The sequence below is a fragment of the Homo sapiens genome, chromosome 11, assembly GCF_000001405.40.
Source record: "Homo sapiens chromosome 11, GRCh38.p14 Primary Assembly".
NCBI classification, from domain to species: Eukaryota; Metazoa; Chordata; class Mammalia; order Primates; family Hominidae; genus Homo; species Homo sapiens.
Window position 1 is genome coordinate 44,719,192 of NC_000011.10, and position 18,895 is coordinate 44,738,086.

The 18,895-nt window shown below is 51.2% G+C and overlaps 1 protein-coding gene and 1 long non-coding RNA gene across 8 annotated transcripts in view, besides 7 other annotated features; one reads left to right on the forward strand and one right to left on the reverse strand.

The window, feature by feature from the left end:
• Window positions 1–200: 200 nt before the first annotated feature.
• Window positions 201–17,501, reverse strand: TSPAN18-AS1 (TSPAN18 antisense RNA 1). Its single transcript, NR_189298.1, has 3 exons — window positions 17,214–17,501; window positions 16,984–17,098; window positions 201–425 (listed from the first exon to the last, which is right to left on the reverse strand). It is a non-coding gene; the product is annotated as a TSPAN18 antisense RNA 1 (long non-coding RNA).
• Window positions 6,299–7,159: an enhancer, noted in NCBI's record as "H3K27ac-H3K4me1 hESC enhancer chr11:44747040-44747900 (GRCh37/hg19 assembly coordinates)". NCBI's record gives its function as "activates a minimal SCP1, AML or CMV promoter by ChIP-STARR-seq in naive H9 embryonic stem cells {active_cell/tissue: H9 hESC(naive)}" and the evidence as "EXISTENCE:reporter gene assay evidence [ECO:0000049][PMID:30033119]".
• TSPAN18 (tetraspanin 18) overlaps window positions 7,119–18,895 on the forward strand; it is a 206,114-nt gene continuing 194,337 nt past the window's right edge. For 5 of the 7 annotated variants that reach the window (XM_011520459.4, XM_047427846.1, XM_047427849.1 and 2 more), the window contains exon 1: window positions 7,771–8,096. The gene's annotated coding sequence lies outside the window, so the exon portion shown is untranslated. Of the gene's footprint in view, window positions 7,299–7,770; window positions 8,097–8,204; window positions 8,492–18,895 lie in introns of those variants that run through there. The other 2 variants (XM_047427847.1, XM_006718372.4) reach the window with 2 other exon arrangements.
• Window positions 7,160–8,021: an enhancer, noted in NCBI's record as "H3K27ac-H3K4me1 hESC enhancer chr11:44747901-44748762 (GRCh37/hg19 assembly coordinates)". NCBI's record gives its function as "activates a minimal SCP1, AML or CMV promoter by ChIP-STARR-seq in naive H9 embryonic stem cells {active_cell/tissue: H9 hESC(naive)}" and the evidence as "EXISTENCE:reporter gene assay evidence [ECO:0000049][PMID:30033119]".
• Window positions 7,388–7,557: an enhancer, noted in NCBI's record as "active region_4662". NCBI's record gives its function as "activates an Ori minimal core promoter by ATAC-STARR-seq in GM12878 lymphoblastoid cells {active_cell/tissue: GM12878}" and the evidence as "EXISTENCE:reporter gene assay evidence [ECO:0000049][PMID:35858748]".
• Window positions 7,748–7,897: a silencer, noted in NCBI's record as "silent region_3278". NCBI's record gives its function as "represses an Ori minimal core promoter by ATAC-STARR-seq in GM12878 lymphoblastoid cells {active_cell/tissue: GM12878}" and the evidence as "EXISTENCE:reporter gene assay evidence [ECO:0000049][PMID:35858748]".
• Window positions 8,734–8,903: a silencer, noted in NCBI's record as "silent region_3279". NCBI's record gives its function as "represses an Ori minimal core promoter by ATAC-STARR-seq in GM12878 lymphoblastoid cells {active_cell/tissue: GM12878}" and the evidence as "EXISTENCE:reporter gene assay evidence [ECO:0000049][PMID:35858748]".
• Window positions 9,273–9,775: an enhancer, noted in NCBI's record as "NANOG-H3K27ac hESC enhancer chr11:44750014-44750516 (GRCh37/hg19 assembly coordinates)". NCBI's record gives its function as "activates a minimal SCP1, AML or CMV promoter by ChIP-STARR-seq in naive H9 embryonic stem cells {active_cell/tissue: H9 hESC(naive)}" and the evidence as "EXISTENCE:reporter gene assay evidence [ECO:0000049][PMID:30033119]".
• Window positions 9,776–10,276: an enhancer, noted in NCBI's record as "NANOG-H3K27ac hESC enhancer chr11:44750517-44751017 (GRCh37/hg19 assembly coordinates)". NCBI's record gives its function as "activates a minimal SCP1, AML or CMV promoter by ChIP-STARR-seq in naive H9 embryonic stem cells {active_cell/tissue: H9 hESC(naive)}" and the evidence as "EXISTENCE:reporter gene assay evidence [ECO:0000049][PMID:30033119]".

Genomic DNA, 18,895 nt, shown 5'->3' on the forward strand with positions numbered 1-18,895 from the left:
GAGATAACAGGCATGAAGTAGTGTGAGTCAGGATACAGAGCACCGGCTGTGGAATATAACTGCCTGGGTTCAAATTCCAGCTCTGCCACTCACTAGCTAGGAGCTCGTGGGCAGGTAACTTAATCTTCCAGAGCCTCAATTTTCCCATCTGTAAAATGGAGACAATAATATTAATACATCCCTCCTTTCAGATTAGGTTTATGGTAGGGACAAAGAGGACTAAAATAGACATTGCCTTCAAGGAGCCCACAATCTTACGGGAGAGATAAGTTTGGAGGAATAAATAGAGATACAGTGTTAAGCGAAGTGTCTAGTACCCAGTAAGAGCTCAATAAAGTTCTTGGCTTGTGGTCTTCACAGTTTTGGCTTCCTCTAAGCATGCAGTAGGCTTTCAACGCACCCTTTGTGCATCAATTAGACTTGGTCTGCCAGGAAAATAGATACCACAGTCTTTAGTCATTACTGTGTGCCCTGTGGTGAGCACTTTTACATGTGTTATTTCAGTTAACCTTCCCAAACTCCAAGATTGTTATCCTCTCCATTTTGCAGAGGAGAAAACTGAGCTTCAGGGAAAGGAAGTAAATTGCCCAGGGTCACGGATTTCAGCCCTGATCTAATCTTGCCTCCAGGGTCCAAGAGCCAGGTCATTCCAACACCTCAAGGAAGTTGATCTGAATCACCATTACTTCCATGGTGGGATTTTCAGCAACTCAGAGGTGGTATCTGCTCAGGTACCAGAGAGCCCTGGGCCATGCACCCACCTCTAGAGTTTTCCAAGGGGAAATCCTGGACACTGCCCGAGATCCCTGGTTGACAGATATGTGTTTGCCTTCCCATTTCTTTTCTTTTCATCCAAGTGCAGAGTAGTGGATGGACATAGGGGCTCTGGAGGCAGGCAGCAGGGGCATGGGGACTAATAGTTCAGCAGGAAGAGGGTAACTGTGAGCAGGTGAGTCTGGGAGAGCAGAAAATGAAGCAGAGAACAGTAATGTGGGAGGCAGGATCCAAACTTCCCTAAACTCTGAAGTCAACGTGCTGGTAGATTTGGATAACTCCCTCTTGCCCATCCCCAGCTTTACGACAGTGTTATCTTCAGTGAAATGGGAGAGCCCTTGCATGAGATGAGTCTGAAGTTTTTTGTTTTTTGAGACAGAGTCTCGCTCTGTCACCCAGACTAGAGTGCACTGGTGCGATCTTGGCTCACTGCAACCTCCGCCTCCTGGCTTCAAGTGCTTTTCCTGCCTCAGCCTCCCAAGTAGTTGGGGTTACAGGCACCCACCGTCACCACGCCCGGCTAATTTTTATATTTTTAGTAGAGACGGGGTTTCACCATGTTGGCCAGGCTGGCCTCGAACTCTTGACCTCTGGTGATCTGCCCACCTCAGCCTCCCAAAGTACTGGGATTACAGGTGTGAGCCACCGTGCCCAGCCTAGCTGAAGTTTAAAAATTCACTGATTGCATTGATTATGCCAGGGACCATATGCATTCTTTGTTCTTACTCAAAAGTGAGTGCCCACATACACAGCCAGTTCCTGGCTCACAGTTGAACCTTCACAAATATTTGTTGCATGACTGAATTGTACCAGGTGCCCTGTGAGACTCTGAGTGCTAAACCTGTAATCTCAGCAGCTCTACACAGACGATAATGGTGATTTTAAAAGTCTTACATTTGTTACATGCTTGCTGGTTTTCAAAGCCTCTTTGCAGAAGTCATCTCCTTCAGTGTTTACGACAGTTGTGTAGGTGTTAACATCTCCCTTTATAGATGAGAAGACAGGCTTAGAGAAGTTAGGCCACTCGTCCAAGCTTGCACAGCCAGAGGTTCAAGGCCAGGACTGGTTCCAGGTCACCTGACCTCCCTGCCCACTCCTCTCTCCCTGTCACATGAAGATGTGGTCCGGATGTAAATATAATGAGAAAGGTTGGAATCCCAGTACTTTATTTGCTGGGTGACTTTGAGCAGGTCTCTGAGCTTCCCTCTCTGTAAAACAAGCTTCCTGACCATCTGTGCCTCATGGAGTTGTTTGGAGGCTTAAGTAGGCTTGCAGGCCTCTAAAGGCTTGATCACAGTGCCTCATGTTAAATATTAGGAGTCTAAAGCACAGGGAGGCAAAGTAACTTCCCCAAAGCCAAACAGCTGGTGAACAAAGGAGACAGGCTTTGAACTTGGGTTTATCTAACCTCGCAACCCGAGCGTCTACCCAGGTAAGCACTCCATAAATGGCAGTTATTGGTATTGTGTTGTTGACTATCAGTTAATTTAAAAGCGAAGGTGGAGGATGAAGTTTCAGCAATCTCTTTATCCAGCAGGACCTTCCCTTGCTATTCCCAGGGAGTTACTTTTTGGAAAGCTCAGCCACAATGCATTCAGAGGAAGCTTGACCCTGGACCCCTCCCAGCAAAGCCATCCAGATTCTACCTCTTTTCCTGCAGGGTGTGTGTGTGTGTGTGTGTGTGTGTGTGTGTGTGTGTGTGTGTGTGTGGCGGGGTGTATATAATGTGTGTGTGTGTGTGTGTGTGTGTGCACGCGTGTGTCCCTGGGAATTGCAAGCATTCCTGAGGGTGAAGGAGCAGGCAGACCCTTGGACCTTGTGCTAAAAACACTCAGAGAGGCTGGCCCTGGCCTGTGTGTAGCTTGTTGAAGGGAGAAAAAGAGAGAAAGTGGAGGAATCCCTGAGCTAGTCGAGGCCCAGAAGTGTCAAGACCACAACCTTCTAACCTCCACAGGGTGTTCCTAAGATTTGTGAATTTATTTCCATGAAAGTCATTGCAAAGATAAACAAATTTAATCACTCAGTTGTATATTTAATGAACTGTCATGTTTTGGAAATGATTGCAAATTACATATAAAAGGAGACAATTCAGAAAAAAATCAGGGAGGCAATGATTAAACATTTAAAATGCAGACTGCCTTGGCAAAGCTAGGTTGTAAGGTCAGCATGCCTCTGGGGAAAGAATCTGCCAAGTCTAGTGTTATCCAAACAGCCATTCAAGCATTGGGCTCACCTGTATTGCGTATTTATCATGTGCCAGGAGCTATACCAAGGAGTTTCTATGAGACCCTCACAGCCACCCCATGCTAGAGTTGCAGTTACGATTCCCATTTAGAAATGCATGGGAGAGTTTAGGTGGCTGGCTCAAGGTGGCACAGTTATGAGGTGGCATAAAAAATTCCCCTGAGTGGCTAGGCGCGGTGGCTCATGCCTGTAATCCCAGCACTTTGGGAGGCCGAGGCAGGCGGATCACGAGGTCAGGAGATCAGGACCATCCTGGCTAACACGGTGAAACCCCGTCTCTACTAAAAATACAAAAAATTAGCCAGGCGTGGTGGCGGGTGCCTGTAGTCCCAGCTACTTGGGAGGCTGAGGCAGGAGAATGGTGTGAACTCGGGAGGTGGAGCTTGCCGTGAGCTGAGATCGCGCCACTGCACTCCAGCCTGGGCGACAGAGCCAGACTCCATCTCAAAAAAAAAAAAATTCCCCTGAGTACCAACTCTGCACTGGGTCTTGGAGACCCAGAGATGAACAAAGCAGGGCCCCAGACCTTGAGAATTGCGCAGCCTAATCAGCCATCACGTTATAAATGTCAGAAGCCAGAGGTCATCCCTTCTAGTGATTTCAAATGCCTTTTAAGCAAAGGACACTTTCTCCTTGAAATCTCATGTGAGACACCATCATGCAAAACAGATAAAAAGGGAACCTGTTTCTGGCTAAAGCTGGGAGGGGGATTGCTCGTCCTCTCTCACCACTCTCATTCTTAAGATATTCTCATTCTTAAGATACCCAGGAGCAGTACCTACCAACCCAACTTGAAACCTGTTGATCTTGTCCAGATGCCTCATTTCACAGATGGTAACACTGAGGCCCAGAGAGGGGAAGGAATCGCCCAGATGGCCAAGACTGGAACGTGGGCCTGTGGACTCCTGGTTCAGGGATCTTTGCTGGGCATTAGGTCTGCAAATGCTCACCCCAATCACTGTAAATCCTGTGTACAGTGATTGGGGCGTAGAACCTGGGTGGTGCAGCACTAGACACACTTCGGTGAATTTGGGGCTTTTAGGCCAATTCAACTTTTTTCTCCAGATGCTGGAGAAAGCGAAGCCTAAGAGCTTCCTAGGGGAAAGGTGAGTATTTTCAGAAGAACCACTTCCACTAGATGCCCCAATTCCAGAGGTATTGAAAGCACCCTGGCCTGGGAGTCAGGAGGTCTGGGTTCAATGCCCAGCTCTTAACCATGATGAGAATCTAGTCTATGTTTCTTCCTCAGTTTCCCTATTGGTGAAATGAAGTGGTTGGATTACAGTGAATTCTCCACAAGTTTCCTTCCCGAATCTTTTTAGAACTTTCAGGCCAGGCCACTTCCGGGTTTCTGCCAACCTAGACTCCAGTGGGTCGGCTCTGGCCTTCACTGCTCCTTCTCCCTCCTGAGGACTGCCCATCCATCCACAGCCCCACCACCTGCTCTTTCGTTCCTTCCCAGCTTCTCCCCTCTTTAGCCCCTCTCCTTGGTGGAGACTTCACCCTCTAAGTTTCCTGATAAGCCACAATCTTGGTGTCTTACTTGCTTTCATCAAACAGCCAAAGGGATTCTATGGGCCATTTGCCCAAGCCTCCATTTTACAGATGTAAGGACCGAGGCCAGAGAAGGGAGGGATTTCCTCAAGATTACCTTGTGAGAGGGAGGTGCGGTCTTCCTGTAACCCGAGTCAGCCTTATCTTGTCCAGGACTAAATTTTTCGGGCGCCTAACTTTAAAAAAATAAAGTACTTTTTTGGCCTAATATAAGGTTGGTACAAAAGTAATTGTGGTTCTCGCCATTACATTCAATGATGAGATCCACAATTACTTTTTTCTTTTTTTTTTTTTGAGACAGAGTCTAGCTCTGTCGCCAGGCTGGAGTTCAGTGGCGCAATGTCGGCTCACTGCAACCTCTGCCTCTCGGGTTCAAGCAATTCTCCTGCCTCAGCCTCCCGAATAGCTAGGATTACAGGCACGTGCTGCCATGCCCAGCTAATTTTTGTATTTTTAGTAGAGACGGGGTTTCACCATGTTGGCCAGGAGGGTTTCAATCTCCTGACCTCGTGATCCACCCACCTAGGCCTCCCAAAGTGTTGGGATTACAGGTGTGAGCCACTGCACCCAGCCCACAATTACTTTTGCACCAATACATAGAATTATGTTTCCCAATTGAGAGGACATTCGAGATGTTCAAGGAAATTAAGGTCATTGGAGGTAATCCAAGGGCCTCCAATACCCTAATTGACCTGGTGAGGAGTGGGAGTGGAGGGGGTCCCTTCCCAATTCTCTTTTCATCAATGCTCTTGATGAAGAGTTTGTTGCTAATGTGTCTTTAACACCTTTCTAGCCTTTGGTAACCTTCCTTTCAAAGAGAAAGTGGGACCTCAGCTTCAACACCTCCTCAGGCAGCAGTATCTTGTTAGACTGTATTATTATTATTGTGGTTAAAGATACATTGTTAGAATTTAATAACACTTATTTTCATTGTATTTATTTTGATGGTTACCTTCTATTTATAGTAATGTGATGCTGGCTTTCCATTTATGGTAATAATTTAACATATCTTTTTAAAAACAAGCTCACTTAAGTAAATTAAAAAAGAATGAAAAAATAAGAGTTGATTTAGAGAAGCCTATTCAGCAGATGTCCTTAGCTAATGCACAGATAGGGCCAGGTCCTCCATGGAGGCTGGAGAGAGGCTGAGGTCCAGGAAACTGACTTGGAACTGGAGTCAGGGACCGAGCTGGTTGTCTAAGTTGTGCAGCGGGTCTGCACTCTCTTCCCCTGCGCCTGCCCCGTTCTGCCAAGCCCCAGACCCTTAGAGACTCTATCCCTCTCTCTGCCTGTCTCTGGTCTCCACTTCCCCAGCTCCAGCACCCTTGCTGTGGGCTTCCCGTTTTTCCTCTTTAAATGTATGTGGCGCCTGGTGTCCAAGGAGGCTCACACGGGGCCTCTCCCAGCAGCATTCCACAAGTGCAGGGCCTGTGGGGTGTTCAGCCTCCACCCTCCATTCTGTTTTGGCAGCTGAAGGGTGAATGTGGAGCCCTTCTCCTTGTCCTCCTCTTATAGAAATTCCACCATTAGGGACTTCCTCCCCTTGGGTGAAGCTTTGCTCACTCTGGGTCCCTTTGAAACCGCGGATCCAGGGATTTTTCTTCCAGCCACGTGCCTACTCTAAGAGTCCCGGTGACGCGGTGAAGTTCTTTAAAGGACCAGACATCCCTGAAGTCCTTACAGGGACATCCCCTTACAGGGACGAATCCATTTCCTGGAATGTGGGCAAGGAAAGGCAGCCACTTCCTGCCTCTCAAAACTCTGGCTGGTGGCTGGGTGCAGTGGCTACGTCTGTCATCTCAGCACTTTGGGAGACTGAGGTGGGAGGATCACTTGAGGCCAGGAATTGGAGACCAGCCTGGGCAACATGGTAAGAGTCCAGCTCTACAAAACACACACGCACACACACACACACACACACACACACACACACACACACACCAAAAACAACAGAAAACATTAGCCAGGCATGATGGCACATGCCTCTGGTCCCAGCTACTCGAGGGGGCTGAGTTGGAAGGATTGGATTGCTTGAGCCCAGGAGGTCGAGCCTACAGTAAGCCGTGCAGGAGGTCGGGCTACAGTGAGCTGTGCTTGTTGACCAGGCTTGTCCAGCCTGGTCAGCAGAGCGAGACCTTGTCTCAAAAACAAAACAAAAACAAAACAAGAAGATCCCCCTCCCCCCAAACTCTGCCCAGTGGCCTGACTACCAACATCCATATACAAGACAGGAGTAGGGTCAACTCCTTCCTATCAGTCACCCCTTAGTGAGAATCAGCTGGCCAAGGGGCCTCCTGCAGAGCTGATGTGTGCTTGAATGCCTAGGGCCCACGGGGATGGGGTGTGGAAGCTTCAAGCTGGGACTCAAAACAGAGTTGCCAAGGGAAGAGGAGTGGGCGACCCGAGCCCCTGTCATCAGTACTTTCACTTGGGCTGTCAGTTTTGATCTGCTTGCTTGTCCGTTTTGTCTGGGGCAGGGTCGGGTAGTTGTTTAGAGGAGGCTCAGAGGTTAAAAGTCTCAGGCAAGTCATGTCAGGGGTTGGGAGCCAGTGCTGCTGTGGCAGCAGTACAGAGAAGAAAAGATAAGCTCCCCAGCCCCGCAAGAACCTCAGCCCTGAGGCCGGAGACACAGATCTGGCCCCTTGCAATCAAGTCATTTGCATCTGACCTGGGGTCAGGCCCCTCCATGCAGGAAGTCCCCTTTCTTATCTGCAAGTCAGAGGAGGGTGAGTTCCCCAGGCTTTCAACAGGTACTTCCCCCGGCAGCGGGAAGCCCAGGAGCCCGATCAGGACCGAGGATCTCACCCCAACCCCTGCGTTTGGGCCCCGGGGTCAGCTGAAAGTTCCCCTGGAATAAACACTTCGGGTCCAGCATGCCCCTCTCCCCACTCCCGCAACGATCTTCCGAATTCAGACGCAGAGAGGGCCCGCGAGCAGAGCGGGAGGTGGTCGGAGGCGGAGGAAGGGGAGATGGGCAGAGGGTGGGCCCAGGGACCCCCAGACAAGGCCTGGACGCGGGGTTGGAGGAGGAGGCGGAGGCTGGCGGGAGGCGAGGGGCAGCCCGCAGAGGAGACGCGCTTCTCGGCAGCAACGGCGTCTGGAGCCGGGAGGGGCGGAGGTTTGGGGAGGGGGAGGGAGGGCGGGGGAGGGGAGGGACGGACGGCGGCGGAGGTGGGGCCGGCGGGCTGGCGGGCGTGCAGCTGCCGCCGGCGTCGCGGGGCTCCAGGCTGCGGGGCGGACGTAGCGCCGAGCGATCCACCGCGGAGCCGCGCGAGGCCGCCCGAGCCCCAGCCCCGGCCCCGGCCCCAGCCCCGGCCCCGGCCCCGGCCCCGGCCCCGGCCCCGGTCCCGGCCCCGAGCCCCGAGCGAGCGCCGCCGCCTCGCGCTGCGGGTCCCCGGACGCGCCGCCACCGCCGGGAAGGCAGCCGGCGCCGGGCAAGTTGCGAGCGCGCCCCTCCGACCAGGAAAGTTTCCCCCCGGCCGCCGGCGGGATTTGGCGCGGGGTCCGGCAGCCGCCGCTGGAAGGTATGGGGCTCCGCACCTCCGTGCCCTCCGCACGCCGCCGCCGCGCCCCCGGGGACCTGGGGACCCCCCCGCGCGCCGCCCCGGGGGTGCTGCTGGACGCGGCGGGGAATTGGGGTGGAGTAGGGATCCCAGGACGGAAGCCCGGCAACCAAGTTCCACTCAAACTAGCACGCGGGGGCTGGGGGGCCGGGGACGGTCTCCACCCCGTGCCTGCCCGGAGTCCGCTGAGGGCCGGGGGCTGCGCCCAGGACAGGTGCAGAGCCGGTGGGCTCCCAGTGCTCCGGGTGGAGGAGTGGGGGCTTCTGGAGAACGGCGCGGGGTGGCAGGTGTGGTTACAAGGTTCGGGGTTTCGGCCAGGGCTGCGCCCGGAAAGGGGCTGCTCGCCACGCCACCCGGTAAGACAGTGAGGGACCAGGGACTGGGAGCGGCGATCGGGGCCGGGAGGGCTGTGGGGCCCGGCAGCTGCATGGAGGGCGGGCTGCCTTTGGGGTCCCTGGCAGCGGGGCGGGGCGGGGCGGAGGCGCCACTCGTTCCTCCAGGACCCCCCTTATTCCTTAGGTGTGTGCGGTTTGGGGAAGTGGAGACTCCATGGAGTGCTGGGTGGGTGGGAGGCTCGGGCACGTCCAGATTTAGGGGGCAGTGGGAGCCAGTTGGGACGGTGCTCGGCTCGGGTGGGATCGCGCCGGCTCCGGGTCCTGCTGGAGTGAGGTGACTGGGCTCCCGCCAGGGGGCGCACTGCCCCGGCCCTCGCCAGCAGGAAGCGCGTTCTGGCTCCTGCGAGGCAACCGCGCCGACATCCAGGACGCAGGGACCACAGACACCCAACTTACGCGGGGTCCCGCCCCGAGGAGCCCGCCCTACACTAGCCAGACGGGGGAGCGGGACCAAGAGTGAGGCGAAAGGTTCACAGTTATAACTGCGCCGTGGGCTGGAAAGGCTAGGAGTCAGGATGTGATTTTTCTCGGGAAGGCTGCCAGGGCAAATGGATGAGTAAGAAATTTACCCCCAGAAAAAGATGTAAGAAACTACAACTGCGAATTGGTGCAGAGAGAGTGGGTTGGGGAATTAACTTTTTGACGGTTTTTGGAGTTGCAGAAACCCAAACCCCAAAATGCATGCACCCTTTTTGTAAAAGTTGCACCTTTGTTTCCTGGATCTGGTCGAATCCCTGTCTGGTGAAGGCAGGATGGGGGTCTTGGGGTATCCTCTCTCTGGGCACAAGTAAACTGGGAGGCACAGGGCGGGCGGTGGGGGATGGGGCCTTAAAGACTTCAGCAGTCCAGGCAGAAGTGTTAAATTTCTCAGCAGTCAACGAGCCCTGGCCCCCACCCTCATCCCCTGGGTCTGTGGTCTCTAGGCCACATTCTTCTGGTCATTTCACAATTATTGGTGGAAATCTGCCCTGGGTCCCAGTTGTCTGGCCTCAGGGTCCCTGTATGTTGAGTCTGTGTGTCTGTGCCTTGGGAAGTCGACGGCTGCTGGCATCTGTGAGGACTGTCATCTTTGTCATGTGCGGGGCTAACATTGAAGGGACATTGGAGGGACTATTGCCTCATCTTTCTCTCCAGTTCCCTCCCTCCTCCCATCACCCCAAGTGAGTGCAAAGGAGCAAATCATAGATTGTGCCGTGGCCTCATTGTGGTTGGTAGAAGTTTTCATCTTTCTCTTAGCTGGTAACCTGTGCTCCTTGGGCAGCCCCCCTCCTGCTCCCATGTCCTTAATGTCCCTTACAAAGGTGGGGGAAATGGGGGTCCCTGAAAGAGATGAGGTTCCTCTGTTCAATGTAGTCTGCCACATGTTTTTGTTGGATGCTACTGAAATGCTCCAGGACAAAGTTGCCATAAAGACAGATCAGCATGATTTTTATTTTGAATAGAAGAGGAGGAGGAGAGAGGAGAGAAAGGAAAGGGTGGAGAAGCCTGCTGTGTCTGGATAGGTCTTTAAGACATTCCAGGGGGCTGGAAAACAAAAGAAGTTTTTTTTTGTTGTGTTTTGCTTTTAGTGACTCTTGTTTTTCTGTGGAGGGAAGCCTGCATGGACCAGCCCTGCCTTGGAACCTGCCTGGGAGCATGGGGCCCCTAGAAGGCCAGCGTTTCCCGTGTTCTGTCCCTCCCCTCTTCTCCCTACCCCCACCCCACTTTTCCTGAATTGGAGAGGGAGTTGAAGGTCCCCAAGGGCTACTAAAGTCTGTGTTTGGGCTTAAAGTATCTTGTGTGGGCTCAGTCTTCTCCCAGGCAAACTCCAAGATCTCTGATTTAGCAACATTTCAAGTCTTGGGCACTCTGTTTCCTTGTCTCCCTTGTCCCCAAACCCATTCAAACAGCCAGTATATGTGGTGCTTTTACCCAACCCCAGTCTGAAATGGTAGCACATCATTGAAAGCTCCAGGACACTTTCTAGAAGCCGAAGTTAGTTGGGTTTAGGATACCTTGGGGTTGGGTTTAGGACACCTTGGGCTGAGTCCAGGAAGGAACCCTCTGCCCTTTAAAAAATGAGATTTTAATGGTCTGAGGGGTGTGTTGGAGGGCAGGGTGCTGGGTAGGGACACAGGATTAATTCAAGGATGTGTGGGAGGGGGTGCCAGGAAGAGGGAAAATAGCAGATTTGAAATCTAGCTCTTCTGAGTCATCCGTGTGGCCTTGGGCAGGTTATTTCCCCTCTTGAGCCTGCTTCCTCCGTCTGTAAAATGAATATGTTGGCTGAGGAGATTCTGAGCTATCTTGCAACTTAGAGCAGGAGAGTCTAACCTTTTAGGGGGCTGGGCAGCCCTGCTCCATTCCTTCTGCCTTCCATTCAGTGGAAGGTGCCTCTCCGGGCTGGCTTGCCTCTCTCTGCCCGCCTGTACACAGCAAAATCCTGCGTTGAGTGAATGCAGCAGCTTCAGAAACCAGCTCCTGCCATCAGAGCTGAAGGACAAAGTGCCCAGCAGTTTTGGGTAGAGAGGGGAATGTCTGTAACCAGTCCCTGCTGGGAGCCCCATGTTAGTCTGCAGGCTCGCTCCCCACTCTTCTTGGGAAGAGCCCTTTCAGTTCCTGGGGTGCAGGTTTTAGGGACCTCTCCCTTTCCAGAGGGCTGCTTTTCTGGTCTATTTCATCAGCCATTGAGAGGGAAAATCAGGAACATTTGTTCATGCTCAGCTGGGGTGCAGCACAGGGAGGGGGCCTTGGAAACCAGCACTCTGGTCCCACTGAGCAGATGACGCCCATTGATCAGGCGTTTCTACCACCTGATGCCATTGAGCAAATGTACCAGCTTGGGCTCCTCCTGCCACCCGGGCTGGCACCTTGGACCTGCATTAGTGCTCCATCTGAGGGAGTGGGGGTGGATCATGAAACACTTTTTTTTTTTTTTTTTGAGAGACAGTCTTGCTCTGTCGCCCAGGCTGGAGTGCAGTGGTGCGATCTTGGCTCACTGCAACCTCTGCCTCCCGAGTTCAAGCGATTCTCCTGCCTCAGCCTCCCAAGTAGCTGGGATTACAGGTGTGTGCCACCACACCTGGCTAATTTTTTTTGAATTTTTAGTAGAGACGGGTTTCACCATGTTGGTCAGGCTGGTCGCAAACTCCTGACCTCGTGATTCACCTGCCTCGGCCTCCCAAAGTGCTGAGATTACAGGCGTGAGCCACTGCACTTGGCTTTTGAAACACTTTTTATAAAGAATGGGAGAGTAAGATGGTGAGCCTGTGTTTGCAGCTGGCAGGGCTGGTCTTTCATCTGGGTACTTGTTGTCTTAAGATTCAGCTCTTGCCCCTGGTCTGCACCCAAGACTGCTGGCTTAATTAGTGAATTCAACAACTTGGAGATGAGCAAAAACATGTTCACTGGTGGTGGGCAAGTGTGTACAAAAGGCAACAGGATGGAGCAGAAAGGTAGCTGAACTAGGCATTAGGAGACTGGTGTTCCAGCCCTGATACTGTTACAGATGGAGCGATGTGGCCTTGTGTGAGTCACAGCCTCTCTCTGAGCCTCGGTTTCTCTATTTCTTTAGAGGCAGCAGTGCGTGGTGGTTAAACTGCCTGGATTTGCCTGTTAGCTTTATCATAACTTCATATCAATTGTGTGACCTTAGACCATTCAACCCCTGGTGCCTCCATTTCCTGATTTGTAAAATGGAACTAGTAATACCCCATCAGATTGTTGTGGATAGTCTTTGAGATAAAACTAGTAAAACATTTAGCATAATGCCTGGCATATAGTAAGTGCTCAATAAGTGTTCACTATCATCATCATTGTCATGATTATCATTATTACTATTATTGTAAAATGGGAGGGATTAACTTTGGTCCTTTCTAGTTTTCTGGGGCCTGGATTGTGTGTGTGTGTGTGTGTGTGTGTGTGTGTGTGTGTGAGAGAGAGAGAGAGAGAGAGAAAATCTGTCTTTGGGGTAGAAGGTAAGGGTGAATAAGTTGCTTTTTTGGTTCTTTTCTTCCTTTCTCTGCCTCATTGAGGGACTCCTGAATGTTGTGACTAGGCTCATGGTAGCCCCGTCCCCATGGCAAGAAGCCCAATTTGACGTCACTGACAATATCCTGGCTCCTGGCAGTTGAGGGATGATATTTCATCAGCTAGCATTTGCCTGTCCTTTCCCTTCCACCCTTTGTTTCCCACCCTTCACCATGGTATGAAAACCATATGTGCAGATAATGTGTTTAAGCTGATCAGCCTCTCCCAGAGTCACCCAAATAAAAAGCCATCTTCCTAGAAGACACTTTCGACTTTAAGATAAATAATCTGGTTCTTCTGTTGTGTTGCTTTATGTCTGGCTGGCCCTGAATCCCTTTTTGTGTTCTGCCCATGGTCTGCTCCAAGGACGTGGGCTGGGCCCGGTCCGTGGTCTAAAGCTTTGGACCTTATTGGCCATGCTGGCCGGGGCAGCCTCTTCCAGCGGCTTGGGAGGGGCCAGGCCAGGCTGGGCCTCTGCCTCATCTTGTTCCAGCAAGGCTGCTGCTCTGAGATATCCCAGAGATGATTATCATGGGGCAGACACTTGGGGAATGCTGCCGCCCGCCAGGTGCTTGACAATACTTCATCCTGTCTCCGCCTACAAGGATGGTTTGGATACTGCCCCCATTCTGTAGATTAGAGAGTGAAGGCTCAGGAAGAATTCAGAGTAAGTGGTGGGATTGAGATTTGATCCTCGGTTGATCTGATTCTCTTATCCTGTGTGCTAAACCACTGTGTTATATTTCCTCATGTATCAAAACCTCCTGTGAGCCGAAAAGCCCCAGGAATGATATCTCTTAGACTGAATCAAGCCCCCTCCTCCCCACCTTTGATAATCTCGCAGGCTCAGGGCACCTTATGAGATTCCGTTTCTGTCCTGCATGGATTACTCAGGCATTTTGGGGACAGTGATGAGTAAGAGTTTTTTGGGACATGGCTGCTTATGGAGGGGTTAGAGCGGGGAATGATCTTATTAAGCAACAAAAGGTTGTAATGGAAAGAGGATGCATATTGGAGTCACAGATCTGAAATTTGAATCCCGATTCTGCAATTTACTGGCTGTGTGGCCTTGGCTTCCTTATCTGTGAAAATCAGAATAACAGCAACCACAGATGACTCTAAAATCTCAGTGGCTTAACAAAATGATTAACTCCTGATCACATTACTTGTCTAATATGGGTCTCTGTTCCACACGGTCACTCAGGGACCCAGGCTCCAAAGATGATGACTCCACCATCTTTGTAACTGCCCCTTCTAAAGCATGTGGCATCCAAAGTTACTGCAGATGGGGAAGAGGGAGAAGGGAAAGCCACACTAATACTCAACTGCTTTGGCCAGGAGGTGACACACATCACTTCACCTCCAGCACCTTGGTCAGAACTGTCATCTGGCCCCAAACCAGCCCCCAGGGAGGCTGAGAATGTAAGGAAGTACATGGATATTTGATGAGCACTAAGTCTCTGCATTTACATTTACCCTAGTAGAGTGCTTTAAGGATCAATTGAGATGATGCATTTAAAGCTTCTAGTATAGAGCTGGTATGTTGCTGGTTGTTAACACATAGAAGCTTCCTTTCCCTAATAATCCCCGATGTACATTGCTCTTTGTAGATTACAGACTGTGTCTATTGAGATTATTTCTGGGCAGATCATATTGTGCCTATAACATACCAGAGGGAGGTGAGTCCACGCATGGCAAGGGCACTATAAGCCAGGCCCTGGATCTTCAGCCCAGTTCTCCCATGACTTCCTTTGGCTTACTGAAATTTACTGCTCTGAGAACTTTTTCCAGCATGTCTCCCAGGATCTTTCAGAACCCACTTCTGCTCCTGTCTCCTCCCTGCATTCCTCAATAGGGTAGAGTATCTGTATTCATTTTATGGATGGTGAGGAGGGGAGGTTGCAGGAACTATCTGGAAACTAACGGAGAAGGGTCTGGCCTTGAGGTGAGACAAGCCAGAGTCTTAGGTATTCATAGGGAGAGCCATAAGAATTTGGGACCCACATTTGGGCCGCTTTGGGAATTGCCGTGCAGCCAAGCTTCGGGGTACCCTTCCAAGGCGCACCTGGTGCTGCTACCTGCAGCTCCCATCCACCTGTGTACCCCCATGCTGGCCCATTGTGTCCTTGTGAGAGTGGGCAGGGAAGCGGAGGGTCCTGCTATAGTTTGGTTTGTTTGACCCTCCAAATCTCATGTTGAAATTTGATCTCCACTGTTGGAGGTTGTGGGGGTGGTGTTTGGGTCATGGGGGCGGATCCCTCATGAGTGGCCTGGTGCCCTTCCTCAAGTGAATTCTCATGCTGTCAGTTCCCAGGAGAGCTGATTGTTAAAGAGCCTGGCTCCTCCCTCCCCTCTCTCTTGCTTTGCCTCTCACCACATGATCTCTGCACATGCCAGCTCCCCTTCACCTTCTGCCCTGAGTGGAAGCAGCCTGAGGCCCTCTCCAGAAGCACATACTGGCACCATGCTGGCACCTGCAGAACCATGAGCCAAAAAAACCCTCTTCCTTTATAAATTACCCAGCCTTGTATACTCCTTTGTAGCAACACACACGGACTAAGATGGGGCCCTAGGAGGCTTTCCAGGTCTGCTTTTCTGTGGATAGTAAGATGTCCAGACCTAGGTTAAAATCCTGACTGCTCCACTTAACACTTGTTCATCTCTCTTAGCCTGTCTCAGTTTTCTCCTCTGCAAAATGGCAAGAATATAGGAAAGCTAAAAAGCGAGTCAAGTGCCTGGCACATAGTAGGTGTCGTGTTTGCACCTCTTCTCTCCCCCTTGAGGAAGAGGAAGAGCTGCCCTTGGCAAGGGAACAGTGCCTGGGGAGATGCTAGAAGTGGGCACACATGCTTGGACTCCTGGTCGTTGGAAGGAGAGGTACCCACTTCCCTTCCCAGCAACCTTGGGCTGGACTCTTGTGTTGAACTAATATGGCTTCCATTTGAAACGGGACAAGAATTTGGAGCCCTGGGTCTTGGATTTAGGCCCATCTTTTCATGTCTAACTCCCACAGTGGGTTCAGGGCTGGGGGTGTTGCTGAGAGAGGCTCCCCCACCCCACCCTGTGTTGCTGCCTCTCCTTCTGGGGGGACAGATTGCAGCGTGCTCTAGTGGGCCAAGTGCACTGGGCCACCTGCTGCCTGACATTTAGGGCTCCCCCAGCAGGGCAGGCCCAGGGAACTTGCTCATTGGTTGGTGTCTTAGCCCTTGGGGAATGAGGCATTTCTCCAGTCAAAACAGAAACACCGCCCTCCATGGTCCCTGTGGAGAAAAGCTGGGCAGGCTGGACACGGGGAGTGGAGGGGCCTGTGGTTAGGAAGAGGATGGTCTCTGAAGACAGGGTTCTGAGATGCGCATTCTTCTCCTGAGCATAGTGAACACTTGTTCCTGGGGTCATTGAAGAGTGTAGCCTTCCCCTGCAGCTGGATTTATGCTGACTCAGGCACGGAGGCCAGGGAAGGCTGTGACTGTGGCACCTTGGGGCCCTCAGACACCTCACTCACTCCTGCATCCAGACCTCGGCTTCTGTGGTGCAGGGCAGCAGCTCTGAGGCAGCTCCATAGCCCTTTGAGGCGGCTTATTGCTTTCCTGCGGCAGCCATGACAGCACCATAAACTAGATGGCTTAAAACAACAGAAACTTATTCTCACAGTTCTGGAAGCTAAAAGCCTGCAGACAAGGTGTTGGCAGGAACATGCTCTGTCTGAGGGCTCTAGGGAAAGGTCCTCTTTGCCTCTTCCTAGCTTCTGGTGGTTACTGGCAACCCTCTGTGTTCTTTGGCTGGTAAATGCCTCCCTCCATCATCACATGACATTCTTCCTGTGTGTCTGCCTCTCCTCTTCTTATAGGGACACCAGTCATGTTGGATTAGGGTCCACCCTAATGACCTCCTCTTTTTTTTTTTTTTTTAGGCGGAGTCTCGCTCTGTCACCCAGGCTGGAGCGCAGTGGCGATCTCTGCTCACTGCAAGCTCCGCCTCCTGGGTTCATACCATTCTCCTGCCTCAGCCTCCCGAGTAGTTGGGACTACAGGTGCCCACCACCACGCCTGGCTAATTTTTTTGTATTTTTTAGTAGAGACGGGTTTCACTGTGTTAGCCAGGATGGTCTCGATCTCCTGACCTCATGATCTGCCCGCCTCGGCCTCCCAAAGTGCTGGGATTACAGGCGTGAGCCACCAGCGCCCAGCCATGACCTCCTCTTAACCTGATTATATCTGCGAAGTTCCTGACAGCTAGGGGTTAGGCTGTCAACATATCGTTTTGGGGTACACAGATCAACCCATAGAGGTGGTAGTATCATTGCTCTATTTACTGTCAAAGAAGTCAGTGCAAAAAGGTTAAGTAATTTGCCCAAGTTCATACACCTATACAACTAGTAAGTGACTGGTAAATTACTCTCTATACATTTCATTCCTCTTACTATTACAGTAGGTTTATATACCTACCTCATAGCCTAGTCCTGAGCATCAAAGGAGGTGAATGTCTGTGTCAAAACACACTCTGTCCGCAGCTAAGTGTTTGCCAGTCGTGTTATTCATCTTTGCTCCCTAGATGGGATGTCTCCCAGGAAACATCAGCATATAGAAATTACAACCAGTTGGAGCTACAATGTTTTCTAGAAATAATTGTTTGAGTTGACCGAATGAAAGGCACCATTTGCATTCTTTCAACTCGCCTTTCTGGAGTTGCCTGCCAGCTCCGTCTCCTCGCAAGTTGAGAATATCAGTTGAGATGGATTTTTCTTGCTTGATGTTTTTCTTGGGTTCCATTTTAGCATCAGAAGTCATGGTGACTTTTGCAATTTGGGCTTCTCTCCCCAGGAGGGTGTCTGGGCATCTGAATAGGGGGGGTCCCTGGGAGGCTCAGTAGATGACTCTCAGCTCCAGAGCCCTTCCCTCCGGGCCCTGAAGGGTCTAGGGATTTAGCTGTGGAGGCTGGAGGACTCTGATATGCAGCCTCATCTGGGTGCAAGGAAGCAGGGGAGGCAACCTGCTGTGGAGGGTTAGGACACATTCTGAACACAGCGCCTGGGTTCAAATGCCAGTTCAGCTTCACACTATGACCTTTGTTTGATCTTTGACAAATCACTTAAATTCTCTCTGACTCCATTTTAACTCACAGGGTTTGATTAAAATGCATAAATGTATCTCTTGGGATGGAATGTGGTACATGAAAAGTATTCAGTGAATGTTAGGATTACTTTAAATATTTTATTTGTCATCTGTTTTCCTCCATAGAGTGAGGGCGGAGATGTTTCTGTTTGGTTTTCCATGGAGCCTGCAGCGTGGAGCTCAGTGCCTGGGGTTGAACAGATGCTCACATGCTGAATGAATGAGGAAATGGATGATTGAATGGGTAGATTCTTAGCTATAGCTTCTTTGGGATTCCATCCCTCCTTGCTATGTACCAAGGCCTCTGCCCCTAAGCCCCTCTTATGTGGGGGCATGGGGAGGCCATAGCACCAAAGCCCAAAGGGAGCCGTAGAATGCCATGAAAATGCTCAGGGCATCCAGGACAGAAAGGCCACCTCATGGACCCAAAGGACAAGCTGGGTTGGAGGATGAGGAGAAGCTGAGAAGGGGGTCTGGGAAGATTGTGGTCACCGCAGGAAGCAGGTCGTGGTGGCTGAGTGGGAAGATCACTTTCAGAATGTGGGGTTTCTCCCATGACGCAGCCACCAGAGGCACTCCCTGACGTCTCCAGCACACCAGAGAGGCCCACCCTTCTCCAGTGTGATAAATCAATAGGCGTACCTCATTTTAGGGAGCCCGATCTATGAAAATGCCAGCTGGATTTGAAAGTCTGCATTCAATTTATAGGCAAGTTAACTCTAAAGTTCCCACTGCTTCCTTCTGCCTTAAAAAGAAATACAGAAGTTCAGCTTACACACTTAGTTAGGAAAACATCTGTTGTGTAATGTGGTCATGTTAGCCGCCTTGCTTAAAACCCTTCGATGGATTCTCTGTTGTGTTCAAAAGGCTTTCATGTGACCTCTGCCCCCTCCCCACGCAAGCCTCACTACCTCTTCTGCAGCCCATCTGCCGCTTGTTTTCTTCTCTCGCCCCTACCTTCATGAATGAATCTTTGTGATCTTCCTCCCCTGGACTGCTTTTTCCTCCCTCTTTAGTTACCTGACTCCTCCTCATCCTTTGGATCCCAGCCCCTGCATTACCTCCTCCAGGAAGTCCTCCTTGACTTCCTAATGGGCCAAATTTCCCATCTGTAGGCTCAGATGGCTCCACAGTCCTCTCCTTAGTGGTGTTTTGTCACTCTTGGATGACTGTTGACTTCTCTGTGTAATTTTTTTTTTTAACATTTATTTCCTCCACTTTGGTGTAAGCCCAGGAAGGCAGGGGC